This window comes from Homo sapiens, chromosome 10, assembly GCF_000001405.40.
Source record: "Homo sapiens chromosome 10, GRCh38.p14 Primary Assembly".
NCBI classification, from domain to species: Eukaryota; Metazoa; Chordata; class Mammalia; order Primates; family Hominidae; genus Homo; species Homo sapiens.
The window spans coordinates 93,185,184-93,211,352 of NC_000010.11; the positions used below are offsets into that span (position 1 = coordinate 93,185,184).

Consider the following 26,169-nt stretch of genomic DNA (forward strand, 5'->3'; position numbering starts at 1 on the left):
CAGCATCATTTATTGAATAGGGGGTCCTTTCCCCATTGCTTGTTTTTGTCAGGTTAGTCGAAGATCAGATAGTTGTAGATGTGCGGCCTTACTTCTAGGTTCCCTATTCTGTTCCATTGGTCTATGTGTCTGTTTTTGTACTAGTACCATCCTGTTTTAGTTACTATAGCCCTGTAGTATAGTTTGAAGTCAGGTAGCATGATGCTTCCAGCTTTCTTCTTCTTGCTTAGGATTGCCTTGGCTATTCAGGCTTTTTTTGGTTCCATATGAATTTTAGAGTAGTTTTTTCTTTTTTCTTTTCTTTTCTTTCTTTCTTTCTTTTTTTTTCTTTCTTGAGATGGAGTCTTGCTCTATTGCCAGGCTGGAGTGCAGTGGCATGATCTCAGCTCACTGCAACCTCTGCCTCCTGGGTTCAAGTCATTCTCCTGCCTTAGCTTCTCAAGTAACTGGGACTACATGTGCATGCCACCACACCCAGCTAATTTTTGTATTTGTAGTAGAGACGGGGTTTCACCATGTTGGCCAGGATGGTCTTGATCTCTTGACCTCATGATCTGTGTGCCTTGGCCTCTCAAAGTGCTGGGATTACAGGCGTGAGCCACTGCACCCAGCCTAGAGTAGATTTTTCTAGTTCTGTGAAGAATGTCATTGGTAGTTTAATAGGAATAGCAGTGAATCTATAAATTGCTTTGAGCAGTATGGCCATTTTAACAATATTGATGCTTCCTATCCATGGCCATGGAATGTTTTTTCATTTCTTTGTGTCATCTCTGATTTATTTGAGCAGTGTTTTGTATTTCTCCTTGTAGAGCTCCTTCACCTCCCTGATTAGCTGTATTCCTAGATATTTTATTCTTTTTGTGGCAATTATGAATGGGATTGTGTTCCTGATTTGGCTCTTGGCTTGACTGTTGTTGGTGAATAGGAATGCTAGTGATTTTTGCACATTGATTTTATATCCTGAGACTTTGCTGAAGTTGTTTATCAGCTTAAGGAGCTTTTGGGCCAAGACTGTGGGGTTTTCTATAGCAGGCTAATTTATGCTAGAAAATTTTAGGTAATTTCTTATATTTTAGGTAATTTTCCCTGTATTTTACCTAATATTTTGGGTAATTTCATAAATTTTAGGTAATTTCTTATAACAGGGTAATTTTTGCTAGAAAAAATGTTGGTCCTGATTTTTAAAATACACATCCACACCCAGGTATATTTACATAAAAAATCAAATAAGAAGTATACCAAAACATCAACTGTGAGATTATCTCTGGGTGGAAAGATAGCAGTTGATTTTTTAAATGTTACTTTAAATATTTTCTTAGGATTTCCAGAACTTTCTACAATAAGTATGTTACCTCATTTACAATTAGAAAAATAATACATATTTTAAAATAAGTTCCATCATATAATACCATCTTCAAAGAAACCAAAGTGAAAAAGAGTTAAACCGGTTTTTAGGGGGAAGGGCTATTTCCACCTTCCCGAGGGGCCATGTGGGTAGAAGGCAAATTAAAACCTGAAAGTTTAAAGTCAATCAGTTTGTCTTAATGGGCCCTAGATGGGGGAAAACTTCAGTCATTTCCCTTGCCTGGCACTCTTGTGGTCAGAGGATGAAATCCAATCATGGGGTCAGTTGGGTTTGTACATTCCATGGCAAACCAATTTGGCCATTTCTCTGCATTTCCCAAAAGTTCTCTGACTTCCTAGACAGGAATTGTGAGCACAGGGAGACCTTTATGCTGGTTGCTGCAGCACATCTGGTTTACAGCCTGTGCCAGATGGGCTCCCTTTCATCTGGGAAGAGGGGCAGGAGGGGACACCCGAGCCTCTGTAGGTCCAAGGAACTTCCTCAGTGGAGGCTCTAATTTTTGGTGAAGTGTTTCAAGTTAAGATGTAACTATATCATGTTAGAGTCACAATGTCCCTTAAATTTAAGGAAATATGCTTTTCATTAGAGTTTGCCCACCTCACCTTTAGGTTCATTGCTCAGGCCAAAGATGTTTTGAATAAGCTGTCAGTTGGTTTCTGATAACATCCTGCACTATGTAAATATTTATTGAGCATCTATTATGTACCCTGCACTGGAGAACAACAATGAACAAGATAGATGTGGTCCCTGCACTCAGGGAGCTCTTGCATTTGGGGACAGACTTCTGACTTCCTGCCTTCACTAACCCCAGGTTATTTTTGGTTTATACCTGGCCTCTGATTGTACCAATCACTCCATCACCTTAGATATGCTGGGTTAGAAACAAAATGCTGGAAAATACTCAAATCTACAAGTCCAATAATAGTGAAAGAAGGCCAGGCACATTGGCTCACACCCGTAATCCAATCACTTTGGGAGGCCAAGGTGGGAGGATGCCCTGAGCCCAGGAGTTCAAGACCAGCCTGGGCAATACAGGGAGACCCCACCTCTACAAAAATTAAAAAAAAAATTAGCCAGGTATGATGATGTGTGTCTGTAGTCTCAGCTACTGAAGAGGCTAAGGAGGGAGGATTGCTTGAGCCCAGGAGTTTACACTTACAGTGAGCTCTGATAGTGCCACTGTACTCCAGCCTGAGTGACAGAGTGTGATCCTGTCTCAAAGAAAATAAAAGGAAAAGGAAAGCTATTGCTGGAAGAGGGAGACTGGGTTCATCTGGTGGCTGGGATAGATGGTACTGATGCCAATATCACCAAGGGGAAAGGAATAAAAGAAAAGAGAGGGACTGAGAGGCAAGCACCACTGCAGAAAGCACCACTGTGAAAGGCTCTGGTGAATCCTCTGCGTAGACCACGTTCAGCCTCTTTCCAGGAACTTCTTCCAGCCCTGCCGTTGCCCACTGCACTCTTCTAGAAGATTGTTCTTTTATTTTCCCTTCCTTGCTGAAACTCTGGGGGAAAGGTAGCCAGATTCATCTTCCCCTTTCCCTAGTTATCACCAAATTTCTCCCATTAAGAAATTCTCTCACCCTAAAGGCCTGTGTAATCCCACTCCCGGACTTTCCTGGACAACCAGCCCAATGGGCCTAACCAAGCCTCATGTCACATCACAAGATATTTCTCTTTATCCAGAAACCAAACAACCAGAAGCCCAGCCACCGAAATGCTTACTCTTCTCTTCCAAACACTATTTACAACAACTCCAACACTTTAAGAGCTTAAAATGCTTTTTATTTATTATAGATAGAAGAAATGGTGTTTTGAAACATTCTTGGCTTATGAGTTTGGTGCCATTCTTCAATTTTAAAAAAATGTTAATTCATGTATGCTTTAAATACCGGACTTCTCAGGGTCCAACCAGGAAACAGAATAAGCCTCAGGTGGTTCAAATTAGGAGACTTTCGTGAAATGACCAATTATAGAGAAGTGATCAGTGTTGAGGGAATTCCCAAGGGAAACTGAGGCATCTAAAGACTAGCAGTAGAGGGGATCCATGACCATACCTGGGCCTGAAGTGACAAGGAAAGGAAGCATTGTTGCTGGAGAGGGCTGGATGGCCATGGAGGAAGGAGCTGGTGGCGTCCATTGTCTTGGAGGGATGCAGCCTCTATGAGAACCAGGGTGTTGAAGTGGAATAGGAGCAGAGAAGAAATATCTTGACCTCTTTCTTTTCCAGCCTGCTAATCTCTGCTGACCAAACCCAACTGGAAGCCAGAGGTGAAGGTCAGCCACTCAGGATACAGAACAGGGCCTCAAAAAGTAGAGAATGAATTGGGTGGGGCAGGGGTGGGTGGAATTCAGAGAATAACAAACACCAGGTACTAACTCTCTCTCATACCTGGAATAAGTATTCACTCAGAGCATTGTTTTTCATCACTCTTGCTAAATGTCATTTTATCAGTCAAACTTCTCAAGAATTGTGGGTTGGGACACCCCCAGCCCCACCCCAGTGCAATCTGAAAGTCATGGCTGGTTATCCCTGTAACATGATCATTTTCATTTATTCAAAAATATTCATCGAGTACCTATTATGTACCAGACACCATTAGAAGAAGGTCCCACTTACCCCCCCACCCATCATTCTCATTCATAGGGATCATTTCCTCCCATTTTTCAATGAGATTTCAATTAATCCTCTCCATTTGGACCAGTATTTATATAACCACATCTGCTTTACTTTTCTGGTAAATCCCAATTTTGTTTGACTTGATAGTCTGTCTGGACAACTGAATCCCAAAGCCTCTCAGAATCTAAGAGAAAGTTTATAGTTTTTTCTGGACAAGAACTCAAGTTGTTGGTGCCCCAATTTTTTTTTTTTTAAGCAGAGGCAGTACTTTTGATTCTGTGAAGAACTTTAAAAATAAAACTTGTTCTTGCTGAATGTAGATAACATTTTAGCAAAGTTGTCCTTTCTAAGAACTATAAGCAAAACAGTCTATATCAGTGGCTTTCAAAATTTTTCACTGCAGCACACAATAAAAATTCATTTTATGTCTCAACCCAGTTTCATGAAACAAAACTCAACATTACTTTGTTTTGGTGCATTCTGTTATTTTCTATTCTATTCCATTTCTTTAAAAAAATGCGACCAGAACTGGTGGCTAACTCCTGTAATCCCAGCACTTTGAGAGGCTGCTGTTGGAGGATCAATTGAGGCCAGGAGTTTGAGACCAGCCTGGGCAACATAGTGAGACCTTGTCTCTATAAAATTAATTATTATTTTTTTAAATGCCAATAGCAACCCATTAAATTTATTTTATACTGTATTAATGGGTTGCTTTCTGCAGATTGGAAAATATTGGCCTGCATAATATCTTGAAACTATTTTTAAAATAGACCCAGCAATGGAATCTATATTTGAAGAGTGGTTAAGACGCTCTAAATGTTTATTTTTCAGCCATCATCAAATGTGCCAATCTCACCATTTTTCTTTCATTTAAAGAAAGTCAAACTGGTTTGACCAGTCGCATTCCCCTATTCTCCCCCAGCACCCCATTCTGGCCAAGGGTCCTGCATTTACTGCCAGTTTGGCTTGTGGCTGGACCCGACTGGCAGCAGGGCTTGGCAGCTGTGGCTTACCAAACCCTGTTGCTAAACATAACCAGTGTTTTTTGTTTGTTTTAACTGGAAGAAATCTGCCTATGTTTGACTTGCAGTTATTGGGGGAAAGGTTTCACTGTACAGGTGGGCCTGGGTAGGCACCTGACTCAGGGATGAAGTGATCTCTCCCCACCAACACCACATGGTCTCAGGATCAGGAGGCTGAAAATCATAGCTGCTATTCATCAGGCACTTACAGTGCATTAAAGATGTTCTATACATTATCTAATTTAATTCTAACAAGCCAGTGGGTGGGTATTTTTATCTTTACTTTAGGGCAGAGAGTAGTACTGTCATTGTCATTTAGACGGGAAGAAACTGAAGTTCAGAGAGATTTCATAACTTCCTGAAGCTCCCACTGGTAGTGTGTAGCAGAGCTAGAAATCATGTTCAGCTCTTATTCACAATGCTCTAATGCTTCCTAGTTTGGCTCTGAACTGGTATGGGGGAAGAAGAACAGATAGAAACATTTCTTTTTGCTACTGACGTATTAGATGTAGCATTTGAGGAGGGGAAGTTCTCTTCTAGTTTCTGGGGTTGCGCTGGGAAAGATGTAATTCCTGTGTCTGGATTTCTCGTTGGAATTTGGAGTTCCAGGAGTAACTCAAAGTAATAATGGGAAACTAGAGGACAACTAATATTATGTCAGCTTGATAATAAAAACAAACATACTTCTGTGAGCCATGTAGACTGTATATATCATGCGTAACACAGTCTCTGTGGGAAAAATAAAGCATGTTAAGTCCCCAATAACATATTTTTGAAATAGATTTAATTTGTGAATTGGTGGATTTAATGTATGTAATTTAATGTATGTAAACCATATCTGGTTGCTTTTTTTCTCCCTAATGATAATTCACTGTGCATTTACATATGTAGAGGAAGAGAATTGGAAACTACAGAAGTAAAAGGACATAGGCTTATGCTACAAAGGATAGAGAAGATACAGCAAAAAAAAGAGTAAGAGAGGGTTGCTTCTGGACTTGTTGAGGCTGTTTCAGAAAAAGAAAGTTAGCAGAGATTTGATGCCTGAGAACCTAGAAAGAATTAGCAAGTACATCAAAGACATTGTGATTTTTAGCCACCTTATAGGCAGCTAAATAGTGTTAATGTGGCCGGGCATGGTGGCTCATGCCTGTAATCTCAACACTTTGGGAGGCCGAGGCAGGCGAATCACCTGAGGTCAGGAGTTCGAGACCAGCCTGACCAACATGGAGAAACCCTGTCTGTCCTAAAAATAAAAATAATTAGCCGGGCATTGTGGCATGTGCCTATAATCCCAGCTACTCTGGAGGCTGAGGCAGGAGAATCACTTGATTCCAGGAGGTGGAGGTTGTGGTAAGCCAAGATTGCGCCATTGCACTCCACCTGGGCAACAAGAGTGAAACTCCGTCTCACAAAAAAAATAAATAAATAAAAAATAGTGTTAACGTGCTTTTAAGGACCTCTCCATTTGAAATTCTGCTTAAACGAGCCAAAGCAATAAGTTCACAGTCAAGGTCAGAGACCTAGTATATCTTCTTGGTACTTTAACTTTTTCATTTTCTTTATGTGATGTTATTACAGTTATGTTTGATAAGTGAATTAACTAGAGATTTTTAAGCCTAACAGATATTTTTCTGTATTATATAAACATTTGCAAGATATCTCTCTGAGTTTTAGCTTTCCAGGACTTAAATAGTCCAAATAGTCCATGAAAGTACTGTTTTGCTCATTATGTTAACCAAAAATAAAGCAAGGCAGATCAACTGATGGTTAGAACTTGAGGTCGGGGTAGGGGTGGGGCTACTTTTGAGATATGTTCCCAAACATTAAACATGGATAATAAAATTACAAAAAAATAGAAAGAAAGAAACCATGAATAAAACCCACATGCAATTATAAAATGATTACATTACATAAGTTGTACAAGTTCCAACATTGGGGACCCACAGAATCAAATGCTTGTAGTGCCTGGGAAGTAATACGTATCCTCAAAAATTCAATGGCTCTGGAAATCTCTTTTATGTTGTTTTTCAGAGAAATGCCCAAAAGATTTGCAATCAAAACAGTCGAGACCATGGTTCTATGCAGACGCCGCCTCTGAAAAATCACAGGTGACTTTCTAATGACTTTCTTCTTAGTTTTTGGCCTTATAAACAAAGATGTTTCTGTTAGATTTGACCCATTGAGGAGAAAGAGAGAGGGCCAGGATGCTATGAAGACTCCTTCCAGCATCCAGCCCAGACACTCTGTCTTGGGGAGTGGACCATTTTGACGCCCTGTCTGTAAGATGCTCCTTGAAGCCAGAGACCAAGGAGCTAACCAATTTATGTTCTCACTGAAGTTGATATTACAGATTAGATACCAATTCCCTGGGTGAGCCACAGTTTCTGAAAGAGGGGCTCTGGATTCTCGAAGCAAGTTCCATTTTCTTCTCTATCAGTCTTGGTCCATGCGTAAAGAAAAGAACAGAAAACCAGGTTTGGGGCCAACATGAAGAAATGCTATGTAGATACATTTGTTGTGGTGATTAAAAGGGCCAATTCTCATTAAGTGGAATTTGCTCTTTCAACTGGACATGCACAGGAGTTTTTTTTTTTTTTTTTTTTTTTTTTTTTTTTTTTTTTTAGTATTAACTTATTTTTTTCCCCTTCCAGCTTAGCCAGAGACCTCATGGAGGTCTAAACCCAAGCCAAGCTTGATCGGTTTTAATTCAACCACTGTTGATTTATGGCTTAGCAAAAAATGTCTGAGAATTTTTTTAAGCTAAAAAATTTTTTTTTACCCCAACTTGACTCCCTCACATCTCAAATCCAGCTGAAGGGATATTTCTTAGACTTTCAAAAGACAAAGTCATCATTGGAATGGAAGGGAGCACTGAAAGTTTCAAATCCCAGAGAGAAGTCCTGTGAAAGGGTATATACAAGTAAAAACAAATATATTGGAACACCATGTGACACATTAAATAGGTTCATTTGATTCCCTTTGAATAGAAACTAGAATAGAATCAACCCAAGGCTGGAGTGGAGGTGTGGGATGGGTTGGGGGTGTTTTTTGAGGGATTGCACCAGAAGAGACACAAAAGTTCCTCTTTGCTTTCTCTTATAAGCCCCTCTTCCTTTTCTTATCAGCCAGACCAAAAATGATCCATGGTAAATTTTTTTCTCTACCTGGCTCTGGAATGTACATTGTTATATAATACAAGCAGGAATTAGACTAATAAGCTATTACCAACTGCAAGAAGAAAACCAATACCAAGCCACTGGTGCCTTCCATCTCTGATATTTAATGGGTCTAATCTAGTTCACAATGCATGAGCCTTTCTCTGCCTCCTGTAACATTCAGGCCGGGCTGTGAGATTTAACCATTCGTTAGCTGTGGGCGTATAATTTGTACCTTCTGTCTTTTCCTGGGTGAGCGTCTGTCTTTCCCATAAGACTGTAAGCTCAGTGAGAGGAGGAACTCACCACATATTCCATCTAATTTCCCACGGCCGTGACCTCCAACCTTCCTCTCGATTTCTCACACATTAGTCCAGTGACTGTCCGAGTCCCCCGCCTCAAAAGAACACACAGAAGGAACAAGGTAAAAGGTACCTTTCTTCCTAATGCTGAGGTAGAACCAAGTATATAATTCCTGATAATTGCATTGTAGTCTTCTTCCTGGGGGATCTTCGAGAAGCAGGGAAGGGGCACTCTCTGCTATCATATATTTGTGCACTGTGTGCTTCTCCACTAAGTGCATATCTTCCTGAAAAAAATTACTGGTTATACAGCAGCTCCGCTCATGAACGTTAATACACACCCAATACTTAGACTGCCTTGGCTCAGACACAGAATTACTGCTTTTACTTCTAATGCTTTAAATTCCTTCCATGGTTTTAGTTTTTCAATGTCAAGAACAGGCTTTCACTCATCTCTCCTGCGACTGCGATGAATTCCTTAGAGACCAAGGCCACATCTGTGCTGTACATTAGCTTTCTTGCCTCAGACATCGTCCTGGTTTCATATCAGATAAACAGATTAATGGGCAAGGAATAGACCTGCCCCAGAAAACAAATGAAATAACGGGACAGAATTGTGTTTAAGTACAAAAATGTCTGATTCTTGTTATATACACTTTGTGCCAAAACACACCCCACCAGTGTTTATAACTGAATTTATATGAACAACATCCTGAAATTTATTGAGCATTTACATTATTCTATACACTATCCAAAGCACTTCACAGATATTATCTCATTTAACTTTCACAATTCTACGAGTAGTTACTATTTACAATTAGGTTCTATTGCTATTAAATTTGTACCATCAATATTCAGTATGACTCATTTGGTCCTTACATGAGGTTATGATGTCTTTTGTGTGATTATCTTATACTGTATGAAGACTTTGCAGTGTTTATTATATGTCTCATTTGTCTTTGTTGTATTAATTGCTACAAGAAGGAGATCTCCAAGACCAGTTGCTTAAAGAACAGAGACATGTATTTCTCTCTCATGTAAAAATTTAGGAAGCAGGTTTCAGATTGGCTGGTGTCTATAGTCCACATAGTCATTCAGGGACGTTAGTTCTTTCATGTTTTTTCTTTACCATCTCCTAGGTGTAGCCAGTGTTGAGGCACCAGAGCAGAAGTGGCATCTATCACTTCTACTTACCTTGGAGAAAACTTAGTCACATGTCCATAGCTAACTCTACAGGAAACTAGGACATGTATCCACTGGGTACCCATGTGTCTAGCTATAGTTTTATTACTATGAAACAAAGGGAGGACTGGAATTTAGTGAGTAGCTCACTATGTTCATCATAGTCTTCAATAAATAGATTGTAAACAATTGGAGAGCTAGGCCTGTGTCTTATTCATATTTGTCCCTATCACAGGGCTAAGCACCTGCCACAGAAATCACAGGGCTAAGCACCTGCTCATGTGCCAGCACTCCCTACTCTGGTGTAGGGATGTATAGGGTTTGTGATGCCAGACATGGCAAATGAACCATGGCACTACTCTTTCCTGAACTTGGGTTTGCCCTCAGAATATTTTGCAGTACAGTACCCCTGGAAGCCACTTGGAACAGGTGGGAATTGGCACACCATCTGAATCCTATTAGCCCTCCCTGATTGTAGGTATTCAAATGTTAAAGAACCATAATAGTTTTCCCTCTATTTCCATGGAAACAGGTATGTTGGTTACTGTGGTGATTTTAACGTAAGTCTTCAAATTCTTTGACACACCTTCCTTCAGAAGGTAGAGTTTAATTCCATTCCCCTTGAATGTGGGCCATTGGTGAGTCACTTATAACATAGGATGTTGGCCAGGCGCGGTGGCTCACGCCTGTAATCCCAACACCTTGGGAGGCCAAGGTGGGGGGATCACCTGAGGACAGGAGTTTGAGACCAGCCTGGCCAACATGGTGAAACGCCGTCTCTACTAAAAATACAAAAATTAGCTGGGCGTGGTGGCGGGCGCCTGTAGTCCCAGCTACTTGGGAGGCTGAGGCAAGAGAATTGCTTGAACCTGGGAGGTGAAGGTTGCAGTAAGCCAAGATCGCGCCACTGCACTGCAGCCTGGGCAACAAGAGTGAGACTCCATCTCAAAAAAAAAAAAAAAAAAAAAAAAGAATGTTATAGAATGTGGCAGAAGTAATGCCATGTGGCTTCCAAGCCCGTCATTAAAAAGTTACAGTTTCCACCTGGCTCTCTCTAACATTTGAAATGCACACTCGGGAAGGCCAGCTACCATGGCATAAGGACACTCAAGCAGCCCTGTGGAGAAGTGCGTGAGGAGAGGAACTGAGGCCTCTTGCCGACAACCAGCATCAACTTGCAAACCACATGAGTGAGCTACCTTGGAACTGGATTCTCCAACCTTCGTACAGCCTTTGGATGTTGCAGCCCCAGCCAACATTTGACTGTAGCCTCATGAGAGACCCCAAGCCAGAACTGGCCAGCTGAGCCACTTCCAAATTTCTGGCCTATAGAAGCTATAGAGATCATAAATAGTTGTTTTAAGCCACTAAGTCTTGGGGTGATTTGCTATGCAACAAATAATATAGACATAAATAAATAAATAAATAAATAAATAAATAAATAAATAAAATAGTTGCCTTCTCAGAATGGGAATTTGGAGAGTGTCAGGAGAACTTGGGAGGAGTGAGGGATAAAAATTGTCTAATTATTTTTTGGGTTGTTGTTTCAGTGCTAGCAGCTCCTGACTTGGACTGGACCAGGAATGAGCTCATTTTATTAGGTTGCACAAAGCCGGCTTGATCTTTAAGGAAGAATCAATAGATTCACAAGAAATGGAAACTTAGAGTTATTCTCTGATTTTTCCCAACCAGCTAGATCACAAGAGCTGCAACAGCTCCAAATTTCTCTTTTTGAATCCAAGACACCTCCCAAACCATACTCGTATCCTACATTTCCACATGGCCTTGTCTCAGTCATCTGTAACTGCTTCTGGGATTTCTGGTCCTACTAAGCGCTGAATGGAGATCTCATCCGTCCACACGATGCTGCTGCAAAATGTTTCCCTCCTCTCCATTTCTCATGGTCCTGTTTTCCAATCTAATTATCCCTTATACTGCAACTTGGTGAATGGGGATATACCCAATTTCCTATCAACTCTGTGCCTGCTCTTGTGCCTAAGGCAGGGGTTCTTAAGCTGGGACTGTTATGTATGATCATATCATCATTAGAGCTTGTTTGGGGGCAAGAAACAGAAACACACTTGAACTTTTAAAGCAAAGATAGACAACTTGTTATTGAGATTCAGGGACATTCTACTACATTAAACAGTAGGAATGAGCCAAGCTTCATGGGGGATTGGAGTTGGGAAGTGGGAAGTCTGCACAAATCTTCTTGTTTCATGGATCTCTGCTTCTCTCTGGACCTCTGTGTCATTCTCACTGCATACCAGATCTCTCTGATATTTAGTCTATGGGGCAAATGCAGAGAGTTACCCACAGAGCCCAAATGCACACACATGACAATTCCAGACAGGCTGAAATTCTAACTCTTTCTCCATTCCAATTCCAGATTCCTAGGGTAAGGACTTTGATGGCTTTTGGGAACTCATCATAATGGGTAGATGAGAGGGAGTTAAAGGAGTCAATGTAAAATGAGGTACTTCTAGCCGGGCATGGTGGCATATGCCTGTAATCCCAGCTACTCGGGAGGCTGAGGCAGGAGAATTGCTTGAACCCGGGAGGCAGAGGTTGTGGTGAACTGAGATCGCACCATTGCACTCCAGCCTGGGCAACAAGAGCAAAACTCCATCTCAAAATAAATAAATAAATAAATAAATAAATAAATAAATAAATAAGATGAGGTACTTCAAAATATGTCCACTATAGTGTTTGCATGCATTTTGAGGGGATAGTGTATGTTATTCTGAGCAAACTACTTAAGTCTCTGGGCTTCCATTTTCTCATCTACAAGAAGAAAAGAATATGTTTAAGGACAAATAATCTGCATTTGCACTTAGAATATACCTGCCATATAATGAGTACTCAGCAAACATTAGGTGTTACCAAGCTTTGCACAATGAGCTACTACTAAGAAATTAGGCAGTACCTAAATCCTCATTCTCCATAGTTGAGAGTTAATAGATAATATGAAAAAATCATGAAAGTACAATAAGCTGTTATTTATAAAAATGGAGTAAAATATAAGAAATAGTTGAAAAGACAGTAAGTAGTTACCTCTGGGAACAAGAATTGGGAGTGGGGAGAGATGGAGTTATTTTAAAAATTATAAACCTAGTAGTATTTGACTTTTAAATCAATTTACTCAGTGTGATCCCAATTTTGTGTTACTAAACACACACACACACCCTTATATGTATTATATGAATGACAATACGTATGATATACATGTATAATATATAACTATTACATTGTATACCTATATCTATGTGCATTAAAAATACAGAAGAAAACATACAGAAGTCAACTATGGCTGTCTCTTGGGAGGGGAAGGTTAGGGTTGTAGGTAAGTTTTAGTTTTATTTGACCTGTTTTCCCTATTTCCCAAACTTACTGTGAAGAAGACACATTGGCTCATCATTGTAAATTTTTTTAAGAGGGCGAGAAAGAGACAGGAAGGAACCAGGAGATATGGGTTCAATCCCAGCTGTGCCACTAATTCAACTAATTCACTGTGATCTTGAGCAAACTGCTACCTCCCTGGGCCCCTGTTGATCCAGCCATAAACACAGGATTGAGCTGAGCTCTAAATAATGACAATGCAAAGAGCTACCATTTATCTAAGACTTACTATGTTGCCAACTCTGTGCTAGACACTTTAGTTACACCAGTGGTTATCAAACGCATTAGAATCACCTGGAGAGCTTTTTCAGCCACAGGTTGCAAAGCCCACCTTTTGAGCTTCTGATTCAGTGGGCCTGGGGTGAGGCCTGATAATTTGCATCTCTAACAAGTTCCCAGGTGATACTGATGCTGCTGACCTGAGGATCACTGACTTAACTCATTTAAGACTTGCAAAAACCCTGTGTTAAATTTTTCATCCTTTGGATGGGGAAACTGAGGCTCAGAGAGGTCACACAGTGTCAGAGCTATGATTTGAATCCGAGACTATTTAAACCAAAGCTCTTGCTGTGATACTGCCTTCCTCTGAGGTTTCCTCTCAGTTTCAACTTCCTATGTTTCTAGTTTACAAACAACAAAACCCACACATCTGAGACCAAATCAAAGCTCTTCAGAAAAATCCCAAGAAAATCCCGACATGTGCAACTTCTGCCTGGAGCGGATGAGTCTGGCGCTGAACACCAAGAGGGAGGGTGATAGACCGCGGAGCCGACTGGCTTGCACGAGGCTAGCAAAGGGATTGCAGCTTCATTAAGGCACCCCTGCAACTGACTTGAACTTTTCTTTCCTTATCCTACAGTTTATTTGGCATTCTCTGGGTCTCTTAATCCACAGTCATTTGGGTAGCAAAAAAAAAGAAAAAAAAAAGTGGAAATGAGTTTTCGTCAATGTTGACTTTTGTGGTGTCCCCAGGAATGGTTATTTTCTTCCCTTTCTCCCTAGTGTGAATTCTCAAGTAAGTAGCAAATGATTTCAAATGCATGCCGATTGCAGTGGCCAGCTGCCAGGAGAGAAGTGAAAATAAACTGGTGACAGGAAGTGTCTCAGTTCACGGAAAGGGCAGCGAGGATATAGTGGAGCAAGCCCATGACACTCCTGGGTCCACATGCTGAAAGACTTACCCGGACGGGCTGTGTAGCCACAAATCTCCTAGTAATTCATTAAGTAAGGGGAAACGCTCCCAGAAGCATTTCTCTCCTCTCCTAACACCCTTTGTCTTTTAATTTCCAAACTCCGGGTTCATTCCTATGTCAAGCGAGCCTGGGTGAGTCTCTCTAAACAACTCCTTCATGCGTGATGGAACACACTGCCACAGACTAATGCTTTGACTCTAAGTGTTTTAACAGGCTGAGGTTTCCAAGCTTTAGGATCACAAGATGGATATATGATCGGTGTGAACTAGAAAACAGCATCAAAAACAGCATGAAGGATGGTGGAAAGAAAAGCGAGTTACATGGAACTTTGCCCAGTGCAGGGCTTACAGGCTGGAAGAAAAGTTTCAAGGATAAAAAAGTATATTCGAAGTGAGTAATAAGATAAAATAAGATGATAGAGCAAGGTCAAACGTATCAATAATATCAATAAATGTAAATAGGCTTAATTTACTTACTAAAAAAGAGACTTCCACATTGGCTAATATAGCAAAATTTAACACTGCTCTACACAAGAGGAACACCTAAAACAAAAGGTCCTGAAAGGTTAAAAAAAAAAGAAAGAAAAAGATATTAAAACAAATGCAAATTAAAACTTAAAAGCAGTTACAATTTTGATATCTGACAAGATGGAATTTAAACCAAAAAGCACTAAAGAAGGCAAGAAGGAGACTTTAAAATACTAAAGGTAACAATTCACATTGAAGATATCTAAGTTATTAACATTGAAGCACCTAACAACTAAAGATGCAGGGGAAATGGAAACCCAAATAATTGGTGATTTTAATCCATGTCTGTCGATCCAAGAGAGATCAAGTGGACAATAAGGATGCAGGAGATACAAACGTAACCAATAAGGTAGATCTTATAGATGTATGTAGAAACCTGGACCCCGATAGTGGCAAAAACACCTTCTCAAATGACTACACTTTGGGCCATAAGGAAAACCTCATTAAATTTCAAAGAACAAAGAGAATACTCTCTGATCACAATACAATAAAATTAATAATTATAAACAAAATTTAAAAACCAAAACTATTAATGCTTAACCAAATACAGGATTAATAATTTCCTCTACAATAGACTAAAACATGTTAACTATGTTCATGTTCATTGAGATTATAATATAGATACCAACTGGTAATAATACAAAAACAAAACAAAACCACAAAAACCAAAGCATAAACAAAATTAGAAAACCAAAGAGACCAAAGGAAAAAAAAAAACTGAAAAGACTACTGTATCTGAAAATTAGGAAAAAGCATGTTACTAAGCAGCTGTTAGAGATAGAAGGACAACTTGAAATTATAGAATTTCTGGAAAAGAATGATAATGGAAACACAAATAATCAAGTCTAGGCTATTCAACTAATGCAATTAATAAAGGAAAAAGTTTAGCATTAAATATCTATATCAGTAAAAATGAAAATAAGTGAACTAAATGCCCCATTCAAAAAGCAAGAAAAGAACCACAGAGTGCGCCAAAATAATCTAGAAGGAAGGAATTAATAAAGATGAAAGCAAAAATTAATAAACTAGAAAGTAGAACTTAAAAATAAACCTAAGGCTGAAACAATCAACAAAATATACAAAGCACCAACTAAACTGGTCAAGAAGATAAATGAGAGGAAGCATGGACACACAAGATTAGAAATACTGTGTGTGGGTAGATGGGTAGGACCATCAAAGCAGAGGAAATCCAAACTAAAAACATAAGAGACTGTTTTTTTCAACTCTATGCAAAATATTTGAAAACTTAGATGAAATGGATAATTTTCTAGAATAATGCAACTTACCTAAATTGGTCTCAGTAGAGACACAAAGTCTTAACAGACCAATTACCATAGAAGAAATGAAGAGCTCACCAACAAAAAGCACCAGGCCCTAACAGTTTCTCAGGAAAATTCCAGCAGACCTCTAAAGATCAACTAATCCCGATACTACTTAATAACAAAGAAAAAGAAGAAAAACTTCAGATAATTTGAGTTTTAATAATTTATTCTACAGTGGACTAAAACATGTAAGCTATGTTTAATGTTTCTGAGTTAATAATATAACTATCAACTGATAATGACACAAAAACAAAACAAAACAACAACAAAACTCATTGGTCACTTTGGATGATGCCAAGCATCTTTATTTTGAAAGTTGGCCACAAAAAATCAAGTATTGCTGGGCTCAGTGGCTCGGGAGGATCACTTGAGCCCAGGAGCTTGAGACCAGGCTGAGCAACATAGTGAGAGCTTGTCTCTACAAAAAAAAAAAATTAGCTGGGCATGGTGGCATGCGCCTGTGGTCCCAGCTACTTAGGAGGCTGAAGTGGGAGGATTGCTTGAGCCTGGGAGGTTGAGGCTGCAGTGAGCCATGATGGTACCACTGCACTCCAGCCTGGGAAAGAGAGTGAGACCTTGTCTCAAAAAAAAAAAAATAAAAATAAATAAATAAGCATTTACTTTGCTTTTCCTAGGTGAACTATATCTCACAATGAGGTAAGTTTTTCTTTGTAGAAACATTCTAGCTAATACATGGAAAGTACTGATAGGTTTAAAACACCACTCTTTTGTAACCCCTGATGAAATTTGTGGATCTGGGCTATGATCATCAAAGGCTGTTCACTTCTCAAAGTGAGAGATTAAGAGACAGACATTACATGTGTCCCAGTGGAAGTCCACCATATCATCTATAATGTATTCTTGACATAGAACTTCTAATTTACAAGAAACACACAGTCCAGGGAATATGTGAACTAATACTATAGGGATGCAATCAGCAAAATCCAGGCTATGGAAACTCTATAGGACAAATGATTCAATTTCCTAAACAAATGAATTACAAGGAGAAAAGAAGAGATGGAGGAGGAATCTATAGATTAAAAGAAATTTGAGAAACCTGAACCAATCCAACATGTGGATGCAATTTGGGTCCCAATTCAAACAAACTAATATTTATGAGACAATTAGGGGAAATTTGGACCTGGTAATATGATAATATTAAACATTATTAATTATAAAAGGTATAATATTGGAATTATAATTTAAGAAAAGAGAATCTGTATATTTCAGAGATGTATGCTGAAATATCTGGAAATGAAATTATATAATGTCTGGGATTTGCCACAAAAGATTGAAGGTAGAAATGGGAGAGAGGCAGATGGGGCTATAAATGAAATAAGATTGGCCAAAAGTTAGTATTTAAAGAAGCTGAGTGATGGGAATATGGAGGTTCCCTATACTATCCGTTTTTCCTTTTTATATGTTTGAGATTTCCCAAAGTAAAGAGCTTTTTGTGGTTGTTTTTAATTAGTTGCCATTACAGGTGATTGTTATTGTTCCCTTTATACTTATCCCTGTTTTTCAAATTTTTCACAGTGATAGTGGTTTACTTTAAATCATGGGAAAAATGCTTTTTGGCAGTAAAAGGAACAAAAGATTTAGTCACTGCCTAATTTCTTAGTAGCTCATTGTGCAAAATTTGTTAACACCTAATGTTTTTCTACTGCTTATTATATTCTAAGTGCGTATGTGGATTATTTGTTATTAAATATCTTATTTTCTTCTTGGAGATGAAGAAATGAAAATTCAGAGACTTGAAGTAGTTTGCTCGGAATAACACAGCTGGGGCAAGGGATAGAACTAGAATTTGAACTCGGGCTGTCTGGCTCCAAATTTTATTTTCTAAACTGTGATGTTGTTTAGCGAAATTGGCATCCTCTCTCTTCTCCCTCAAATCGGAGCTGCCTGTGCATGTGCTGTGAAGGTGGAAATGAGCCTGGCTCTTCTTTGAGACATTATTACCTGGGTGACTTTGGGTACAAGTCACTTCATTCTCTGAGCTTCAATTTTATTGCTTATTGGAGGGGGTTGGACTATTTGATGCTGGCTCTTGTTGCTTACCAGCTGTGCAGCCTTGGAGAAGTTGCATAACCTCTCTGAGCTTGGTTTTCCATCTCTGAAAAGAGGATTATTATTCCTACCTCATAGGGTGTTTGAGAAGAAGAAGGGCCATCTGTGAAAACTGTGGGATAAAATAATAATACTATAAATGATAATTGCCATTATTCTTCTTCTAGAAGAGTCCCTGAGTCTGGAAGGGTTGGGAAAAAGGACCCACTTACCCAGGAAGGCTTTCCTGGGCTTTCCACATCCATGCTGGTAACTCTGTATGGAGAGGACTTTGCAGTACCACAGGCACAGGATGAAGAGGGCCCTCGAGTCTTGAACCAGAAGGGAGCCTAATAACTGTGGGAGCCACCATGTATTGAACCCCTACTATTCTAGATGCTTTACAAATATTCCCACACTCAGCCTTGGCTCGGCCTAGCAGGGCAGATATTAACAGCATGCCCATGGCTAGTTAAGTGAGTAGAAGTGCCAGGATTTAAACTGTGCCTCTTTCTCCTTTATCACTTTGCTTTGGTTATACTCAACCAGTTTTTTAATCCTGTGTGCAATAGGGTCTTATTATTGCATTTAACATGAAAATACCTAGGTCACTAGTCAAATAGATTATTTTCAAGTATGAAGCTAATACATGTTTACTATAGCAAATAAAAGAAACATTCAGAAAAATAGAAAGACAATTCACTCACAAATTCACTACCCAGCGTTCAGAGACAACCATGCATTAACATTTTCTTCTAGTCTTTTTTTTTTTTGTAGGTTTTTCTTGTATAATTGAGATCAGGCAATAGTAAATACATTTTAAAAACCTAAAATCATTGAAATAATGAAATGACCTTGGATTGGAAGGACCTCAGAGTAGCATCAGTGTATTGAGGTTGATCTATTTCAGTGGGTCTCAACTGTGTGAGATTTTGCCCCCAAGGGGATATTTGGAAATGTCTGGAGACATTTTTGGTTGCGGGGGTTGCTACTGGCATCTCGTGGGTAGGAGGCAGGCATGCTGCTGAACATCTACAGTGCACAGGACAGCCCCTACAAGGAGAATTATCTGGCTCAAGTGTCAATAGTGCCAAGATTAAGAAACCCCTTGTCTATCTGATTAATAATTATCAAATACAGTGGTTTTGTTGGTGTTGGATACAGGGGGCCGCATCCTGCTTCTCTCCACGGCAACAAATCAGAATGCAGAAGAAGCAGCATGATTGAGTGGCGGGGAAGGCCTGTAGCTTTGACTGCGTCCCAAAGGGGTCGGGATCTCACGTTCTGCCTCTGGGTAGGACTTTGGCTTGTCCCTGTCAGTGATGCTTTCCCAGCCAGGTGACATCCTCACTGCTTGGTCAGGGGTCAGTCTGAGCATGGGGCCTGAGAGGGAAGCTGGGAGTACCACTCCCACTGACTATGATCATCAGAGGTCAGAGACACTGTGGAACTCAAGAAGTGGACACAAACACTTCTGCCAGAAGAGGGGTCCTGAGTCTATCCACACAGCCACCAGGGTGCCATGAGAACTGATCACGTCCTAACAAAGAGAGGGCCTGGGACTGGGGAGGCTCTGCACATCAGCTCCAATATCTCCACCTCCTCCCACTGTGAGGGAGCTGGGTCAGGAACCACTGCTGGTGAATCCAGAGGAGAAGAAGCAGAGACTTCTCCCCCATGGACGAGTGTGCCAGGGCTGCAGTGACAAAGTACAACACACAGAGTGGCTTACACAACAGAAATTGATTCTCTCACATTCAGGGGGCTGGAAGTCTGAGACCAAGCTGCTGTCGGGGCTGTGCTACCTCTGAGGCACTAAGGAAAAATCTGTTCCAAGCCACACTCCTGGCTTCTGGTAGTTCCTGGGTAGTGGAGGCACTGCTCCCGTCTTCATGTGGTGCTTTCCCCATGTGCGCGCCTGTCTCCAAATTCCCCCTTTTCATAAGGACACCAGTCATACTGGATTAGGGGCCCACTCTACTCCAGTATGATCTCATCTTAATCACTTATGTCTGCAACAACTATGTTTCTGAAGAAGGTCACATTCTGAGGTACTGGGGTAAGGACTTACATCTACAAATTTTGGGGGGAAACAATTAAACCCACAACAGACCCCACGTTTGGAAAGTAGTTCCAGTGTCCCTAGCCAAGTAGGAGGATCTGAATCATGCTGGCTGCTTGTGGATGCTCCTTGGTGATAGAATATTTCCTTGTAGATGTCTGTCTCCTGGAGGGTCCCCAGACCCTTTTAGTACCTGGAAGAGATAGGGATGAGGGAGCCGCTCCGAACCCCCGCTGGACCAAGGTCCCCAAGCAGGACTTAGATAAGAGGACTTAAGTGTCAAGGCAATGGCAGTGGAGGAGTTAGCCCACAGCCAAGAATCCATGTGACCTAAACCCAAATGGAGAAAAAAGCAAAAAGGAGGAAGGGAGGTTGGAGATTGGGGGTGAGGTGTGGACAAAAAAGGACAGTTGTGCCCTGGCACACTCTGCAAAGGAAGTCCTGTGGGCTGCAGAAGACATTTTTGCACCCACACTAGTTAAATAGATTGGGGTTTCCCAGAGTGGATTCTGTGGAATACCAGCTCTATGATAGATTAAATAGGTATTACATGAGGAAGAGATTCCATAGCAAAATAAGTATGGGAAGCAATGCTAAACTGGATTTGAATTTCAACAGCAAAATTTTCAAAACTTTTAATATATTAATATGGACTGTGCCTCTTCAAAAAGAGTGAATAGTAATCAGCATTCATCCACGTGATTGGATCACAGAAACTTTTTTCTCAGGAGCATCTGGCAAGATACATTTGAGAAATGTTGAACTAGGTGATGGATGAGCCCATTGTGAACAAAACCACAGAGCTGGTGGATGCTATAGATGATATGGCATAATATGAATATTAGATAATAGAAATTCCCAATTGACATTATCACCACGCTATGTTCCACCTTCCCTAGATCTTCCCTCAGTTGCTATCATATTGGATTCCCTTGGTTTGAGAAACACTTCTTGACGTTTATACTATTTCTTGTGAATAACTGATAAAATCGTCAACCTCAATGACACAAGTCAGCAAAGTCATTCTACATAAAGCCACAGGCCTAGCACCAGCTACAGGTATATATCCCACTTTCCCAACCCAGCCCTCCCTAGCAGGCTCCCACCTACTCATCCAAGGTGTTGTGGGCCCCCAGAAACCTGCTTAAACCAACATGGAGCAAAAACCATCATTACAGGACCCTAGAAAAGCCTCCTGGCTGCCTGTGATAAGGCATACTGAACAGACAAAAGGCCTGAGGCTCATTTTCTTTTAACTTTTTTTTTTTAATAGTACAAACTTAAGGCTCTTTATTCAGGCAGTAAAGTAAGGAACAGCAAAGTGGGAGGGCTACACCATCACCATGGCAACAGAAAGCCTCAAAAACTTAAAGTCCTTCCTAGCTCAGAAGAAACACATTTTAACTGGCTGAGAACAAGGCCAGGCAGCCTGGGAATGGTGTGGAAGGGCGGCTGCACGCGCGGCCTCTGGTCAGTCCTGGAAGTGCGTGGTGAGGGCTTTCAGCAGGTCCTGCTTCTTTAGCACACTCTTCAGCCCATCCACCCGGCAGGCCTCTTTCAGCATGGGCACAGTGAACTTGCCCAGCATGACCTTGCTGATGTGGGTCTTCAGCTTCTCTTCTCAATACTCCACCTTGGGCCTTTTGCTCCCAGAACCTTCGTTATTGTGCTTTCTCTTGGTAACTTTCCCTTCAGGATTGTAATCTGGCGGGTAGACAAGCTCCTTAAACTCATCCACCAGGGATCCCAGTCTTTTATTCATTGCTTCAACCTTGGGCAATGTCAGATCTACTGCTTGTTCAGGCTCCATCAAATCCAAGGCCAAGGCCTCCAGGTTCCTGAAGTACTTACTGCTGCAGCACGGGATTCTCAAAGCTGTCACTTCTGTATGTGAAGCGGAGCTTCTGAATGATAGCCTTCATCTTGTCCATCTACTCTGGAGTTGCCATGACCTTTTCAGTAAAGGGCATATTCGCCGGGCGCGGTGGCTTATGCCTATAATCCCAGCACTTTGGGAGGTAGAGGCGGGCGGATCACCTGAGGTCAGGAGTTCAAGACCAGACTGGCCAACATGGTGAAACCCCATCTCTACTAAAAATACAAAAAATTAGCTGGGCATGGTGGCAGGCATCTGTAATCCCAGCTACTCGGGAGGCTGAGGCAGGAGTATTGCTTGAACCCGGAAGGCAGAGGTTGCAGTCAGCCGAGATCGCACCATTGTACTCCAGCCTGGGCAACAAGAGTGAAACTCCGTCTCAAAAATAAATAAATAAATAAATACATACATACATACATACATACATACATACATACATACATACATAAAGGACACCTTCATTTTATCATCAGCAAAGGGTAAAAAGACCAGCTGGAAACCTGGAGGAGTCACCTGAATTTTCTAGTCATCCAACTCCTCTTCCTGTGGCACCAAAGCCACAAAATAAGGGGGAATGTTCCTGTGGGGCGTGTATCTGCACAATGCTATGACCTCCTTCTCCAGACACTTGATGAGCAGAGCACTGAACAGGATTGAGCTCCCAATCACCAGCGACTCCTCAGGGTACACCAACAGGGAGGGCCTCAGGTAATGGTGCTTCTTCAGCATTACCAAGGGCTTGAAACCCAGGAGCATCAAACCTGGATCATTAAACCATTTTAGCTCTTCTGTTTCCTCTTTTTCCAGTATAATCTGATGACTTCCAAAGATCTGAGACCTCTTGGTATCACTAGGCAGAAGCACACTGCATGTATTTGTGTTAAATGTCCGGGTCTTTGTTTTTTCTGTTTTTCTTTTCTTTTTTTTTTTTGGACAGAGTTTCGCTCTTGCTGCCCAGGCTGGAGTACAATGCACAATCTCGGCTCACCGCAACCTTCGCCTCCCGGGTTCAAGCGATTCTCCTGCCTCAGCCTTCTGAGTAGCTGGGACTACAGGTATGCACCACCACGACTGGCTAATTTTGTCTTTTTTTTTTAGTAAAGACGGGGTTTCTCCATGTTGGTCAGGCTGGTCTTGAACTCCCGACCTCAGGTGATCCGCCTGCCTCGGCCTCCCAAAGTGCTGGGATTACAGGCGTGAGCCAACGCACCCGGCCAGGGTCTTGGTTTTCACTGGTTCATTTGTTTCCTGATAGAGCTTTACTGGAGGAGGCTTAAGAGCCTTTTGGACCAGATTACAAATGCCCACAGAGATCACTATATCTTTGTTGAGCTTCAGCTTTAACCTGCTGAGTGCTTGCTTCCTGGTGTCCTTGGCGTGAACCTTCGGCAACAGGTCTTCTAGCTTGCTGGATTCCTCAAAGTGAACCCTGAGGTCCTCATCCTCGGCTATGTTGATGGTATCTCTATAGAACAAGGATAGGTCAAAGCCCCCAGGTTTCTTCAGGTGCATCAAGTCAAGGAAGATGCCTGTATCTTGGAGATCACCGGCTTCAGTCCTGGCCTGGCTGGCTTTGGCACTGTCATTGCCATGGGGGTTTTCTTCACTGGTCAACAGCATGATCCTCGTATGACTCATCTTCAACCAGACATCACTAAAGAGGCTGGCACAGACCCACAGCACTTCACTGAGCGAGTAGTCAGATCCGTGGCCCATCAGGTCTTGGAAACGTTTTTGTCCCTGCTGCCCCTTAAACTGGTCAAGCTCTAGAATTTGTTTTGCACTTGGATTATCCAACTCCTGTAAGACGTAAATATTTTTAAAATTCACTGAATTTTTGTCTTTCTCGGTACCATAGAACACCACTGCCAAGAGATCTCAATCACTGCTTATGATCTCATTGCTTATGATCTGTTTATGATCTCACTGCTTATGATCTCACTGTTTATGACCTCACTGCTTATGATCTCACTGCTTATGATCTGTTTATGATCTCACTGCTTATGATCTCACTGCTTATGATCTCACTGCTTATGATCTGTTTATGATCTTACTGCTTATGATCTCACTGCTTATGATCTCACTACTTATGATCTTTCTTACTGCTTATAATCTTACTGCTTATGATCTTTCTTACTGCTTATGATCTTACTGATGTACACACTTTGGATACACTGGATGCTCATGTCAAAAGGAATCAAAACTTCACTCTGAGATTCAAACATAGCCCTGGAGGCATCAACCAAAAAAATCAAACTATGTCTTCCTGAATATTTATAGTCTCCACTTGCTTCAAGGTTCTCTTCTTCTTCTTCTTCTGCTTCTTCATCGCCCTCGATTTTGTAATACAACTCCCACCCTGACATGTTGGCTACTGTTCACTTTGGCGCAGGGAAGTGACCAACTTGGACAGAAGACAAGAATCTCTTTTCACTTTTAACCAAAAATAGGTCATGCATTTGAATTCCCTGCCCCCCCCCCCAAAAAAAAAACCTGGGGACATGTAGTTTATTTGGGTGGTGATCCTAGGAAGCCCAAATGAAGAAGTAGGGAAAGTGAGACAGGGAAATAAGAAAAGTCAATAATGGGTACATTAATGAGCAGGGCTCTTATGGGCAGCTGAGGTTCAGTCTCACTGGGGAACCTCTGGGAATTCACGTGGAACACGCCTTTGAATTGTGCCACCAGAGGATGGGGTGGCTGGAGCATTTGGCTACCCCCTCACCTCCCTCGTCGGCTGAAGACTGCCCCCTGAACTGGGTTGAATAGTGTGCCCCCAAAAGTCATGTTCTTTCTGGAACCTCAGAATGTGACCTTATTTGGAAATAAAGTTGTTGCAGATGTAATTAATTAAGATGAAGTCAGGCTGGGCACAGTGGCTCATGCCTGTAATCCCAGCACTTTGGAAGGCCGAGGTAGGGGGATCACTTGAGATCAGGAGTTCCAGACCAGCCTGGCCAATATGGCAAAACCTCATCTCTACTAAAAATACAAAAACTACTCAGGCATGGTGGCGGGGCCTGTAATCCCAGCTACTCGGGAGGCTGAGGCCGGAGAATTGCTTGAACCCGGGAGGTGGAGGCTGCAGTGAGCCGAGATTGTGCCACTGCACTCCAGCCTGGGCCACACAGCCGAGACTCTGCCTCAACAGAAAAAAAAAAAGGCTGAGGTCAGCCTGGAGTAGAGCCAGCCATTAATCCAATAAGACTGGTATCCTTGAGAAGAGAAGAGACACAAGAACAGGGATATACAGCAGGAAGGCAGCCATGTGAAGATGGGGGCAGGATTGGAGGGATGCTGCCACGTGCCAAGGACTGCCAGGGACTTTCAGCAACCCCCAAGAGCCAGGAAGAGGTGAGGCAGGACCTTCCCCAAGAGCCTTCAGAGAAAGTGTGGCCTTGCTGGTATCAACCACCAAGGTATCAACCTTGCCTTCAGACCTCTAGCCTCCAGAACTGTCAGAGAATAAATCTCTGTTGTTTTAAGCCAACCCATTTATGGAACATTGTCATAGCAGCTCTCAGACTCTAATGCATGTCCAAAGGTGCTAAGTCCCCCACAGCTCCCCAGGTGCCCAAGAAAGCCTTCAGGCAGAGAAGCAGAGATGCAGGCACTTGAGGTGGGATGCTGTAGTGAGCTCAGATGTGGACCAAGAAGATACAGTGTGGGACATCAGCAGCATCTGCCACCATAAGTATTCCCATAAGAGGCAGTACATCAAGGCTAAGCTCATGTGCTTGGAAGTTAGGCTCGAATCTGTTCTATTACTTAGAAGTTTCAAGACCTTGGACAAGTTACATGACCTCTGTGAAACTCAGTTTTCCTTATTTGTAAGATGGGTATGAAATCATACTTCACAGAAATGTGAGTATAAATTAGTTCAAGTCTATAAACTACCTGGCATGGTGTCAGGCACATGGCATCATTCAATAAACATAACCTGTTATTATTAGATATTATTAATAACTAATTAACAGTGGTACTATTGGCGGGGCGTGGTGGCTCACGCCTGTAATCCCAGCACTTTAGGAGGCCGAGGTGGGTGGATCATCTGAGATCGGAAGTTCGAGACCAGCCTGACCAACATGGAG

At 41.5% G+C, this 26,169-nt stretch overlaps 1 pseudogene, besides 1 other annotated feature; it reads right to left on the reverse strand.

The window, feature by feature from the left end:
• On the reverse strand, nucleotides 21,472-23,909 carry XRCC6P1 (X-ray repair cross complementing 6 pseudogene 1; annotated as a pseudogene).
• Nucleotides 21,509-21,803: a silencer, noted in NCBI's record as "tiled region #1522; K562 Repressive non-DNase unmatched - State 13:Ctcf". NCBI's record gives its function as "represses a minimal TATA promoter and a strong SV40 promoter by Sharpr-MPRA in K562 cells {active_cell/tissue: K562}" and the evidence as "EXISTENCE:reporter gene assay evidence [ECO:0000049][PMID:27701403]".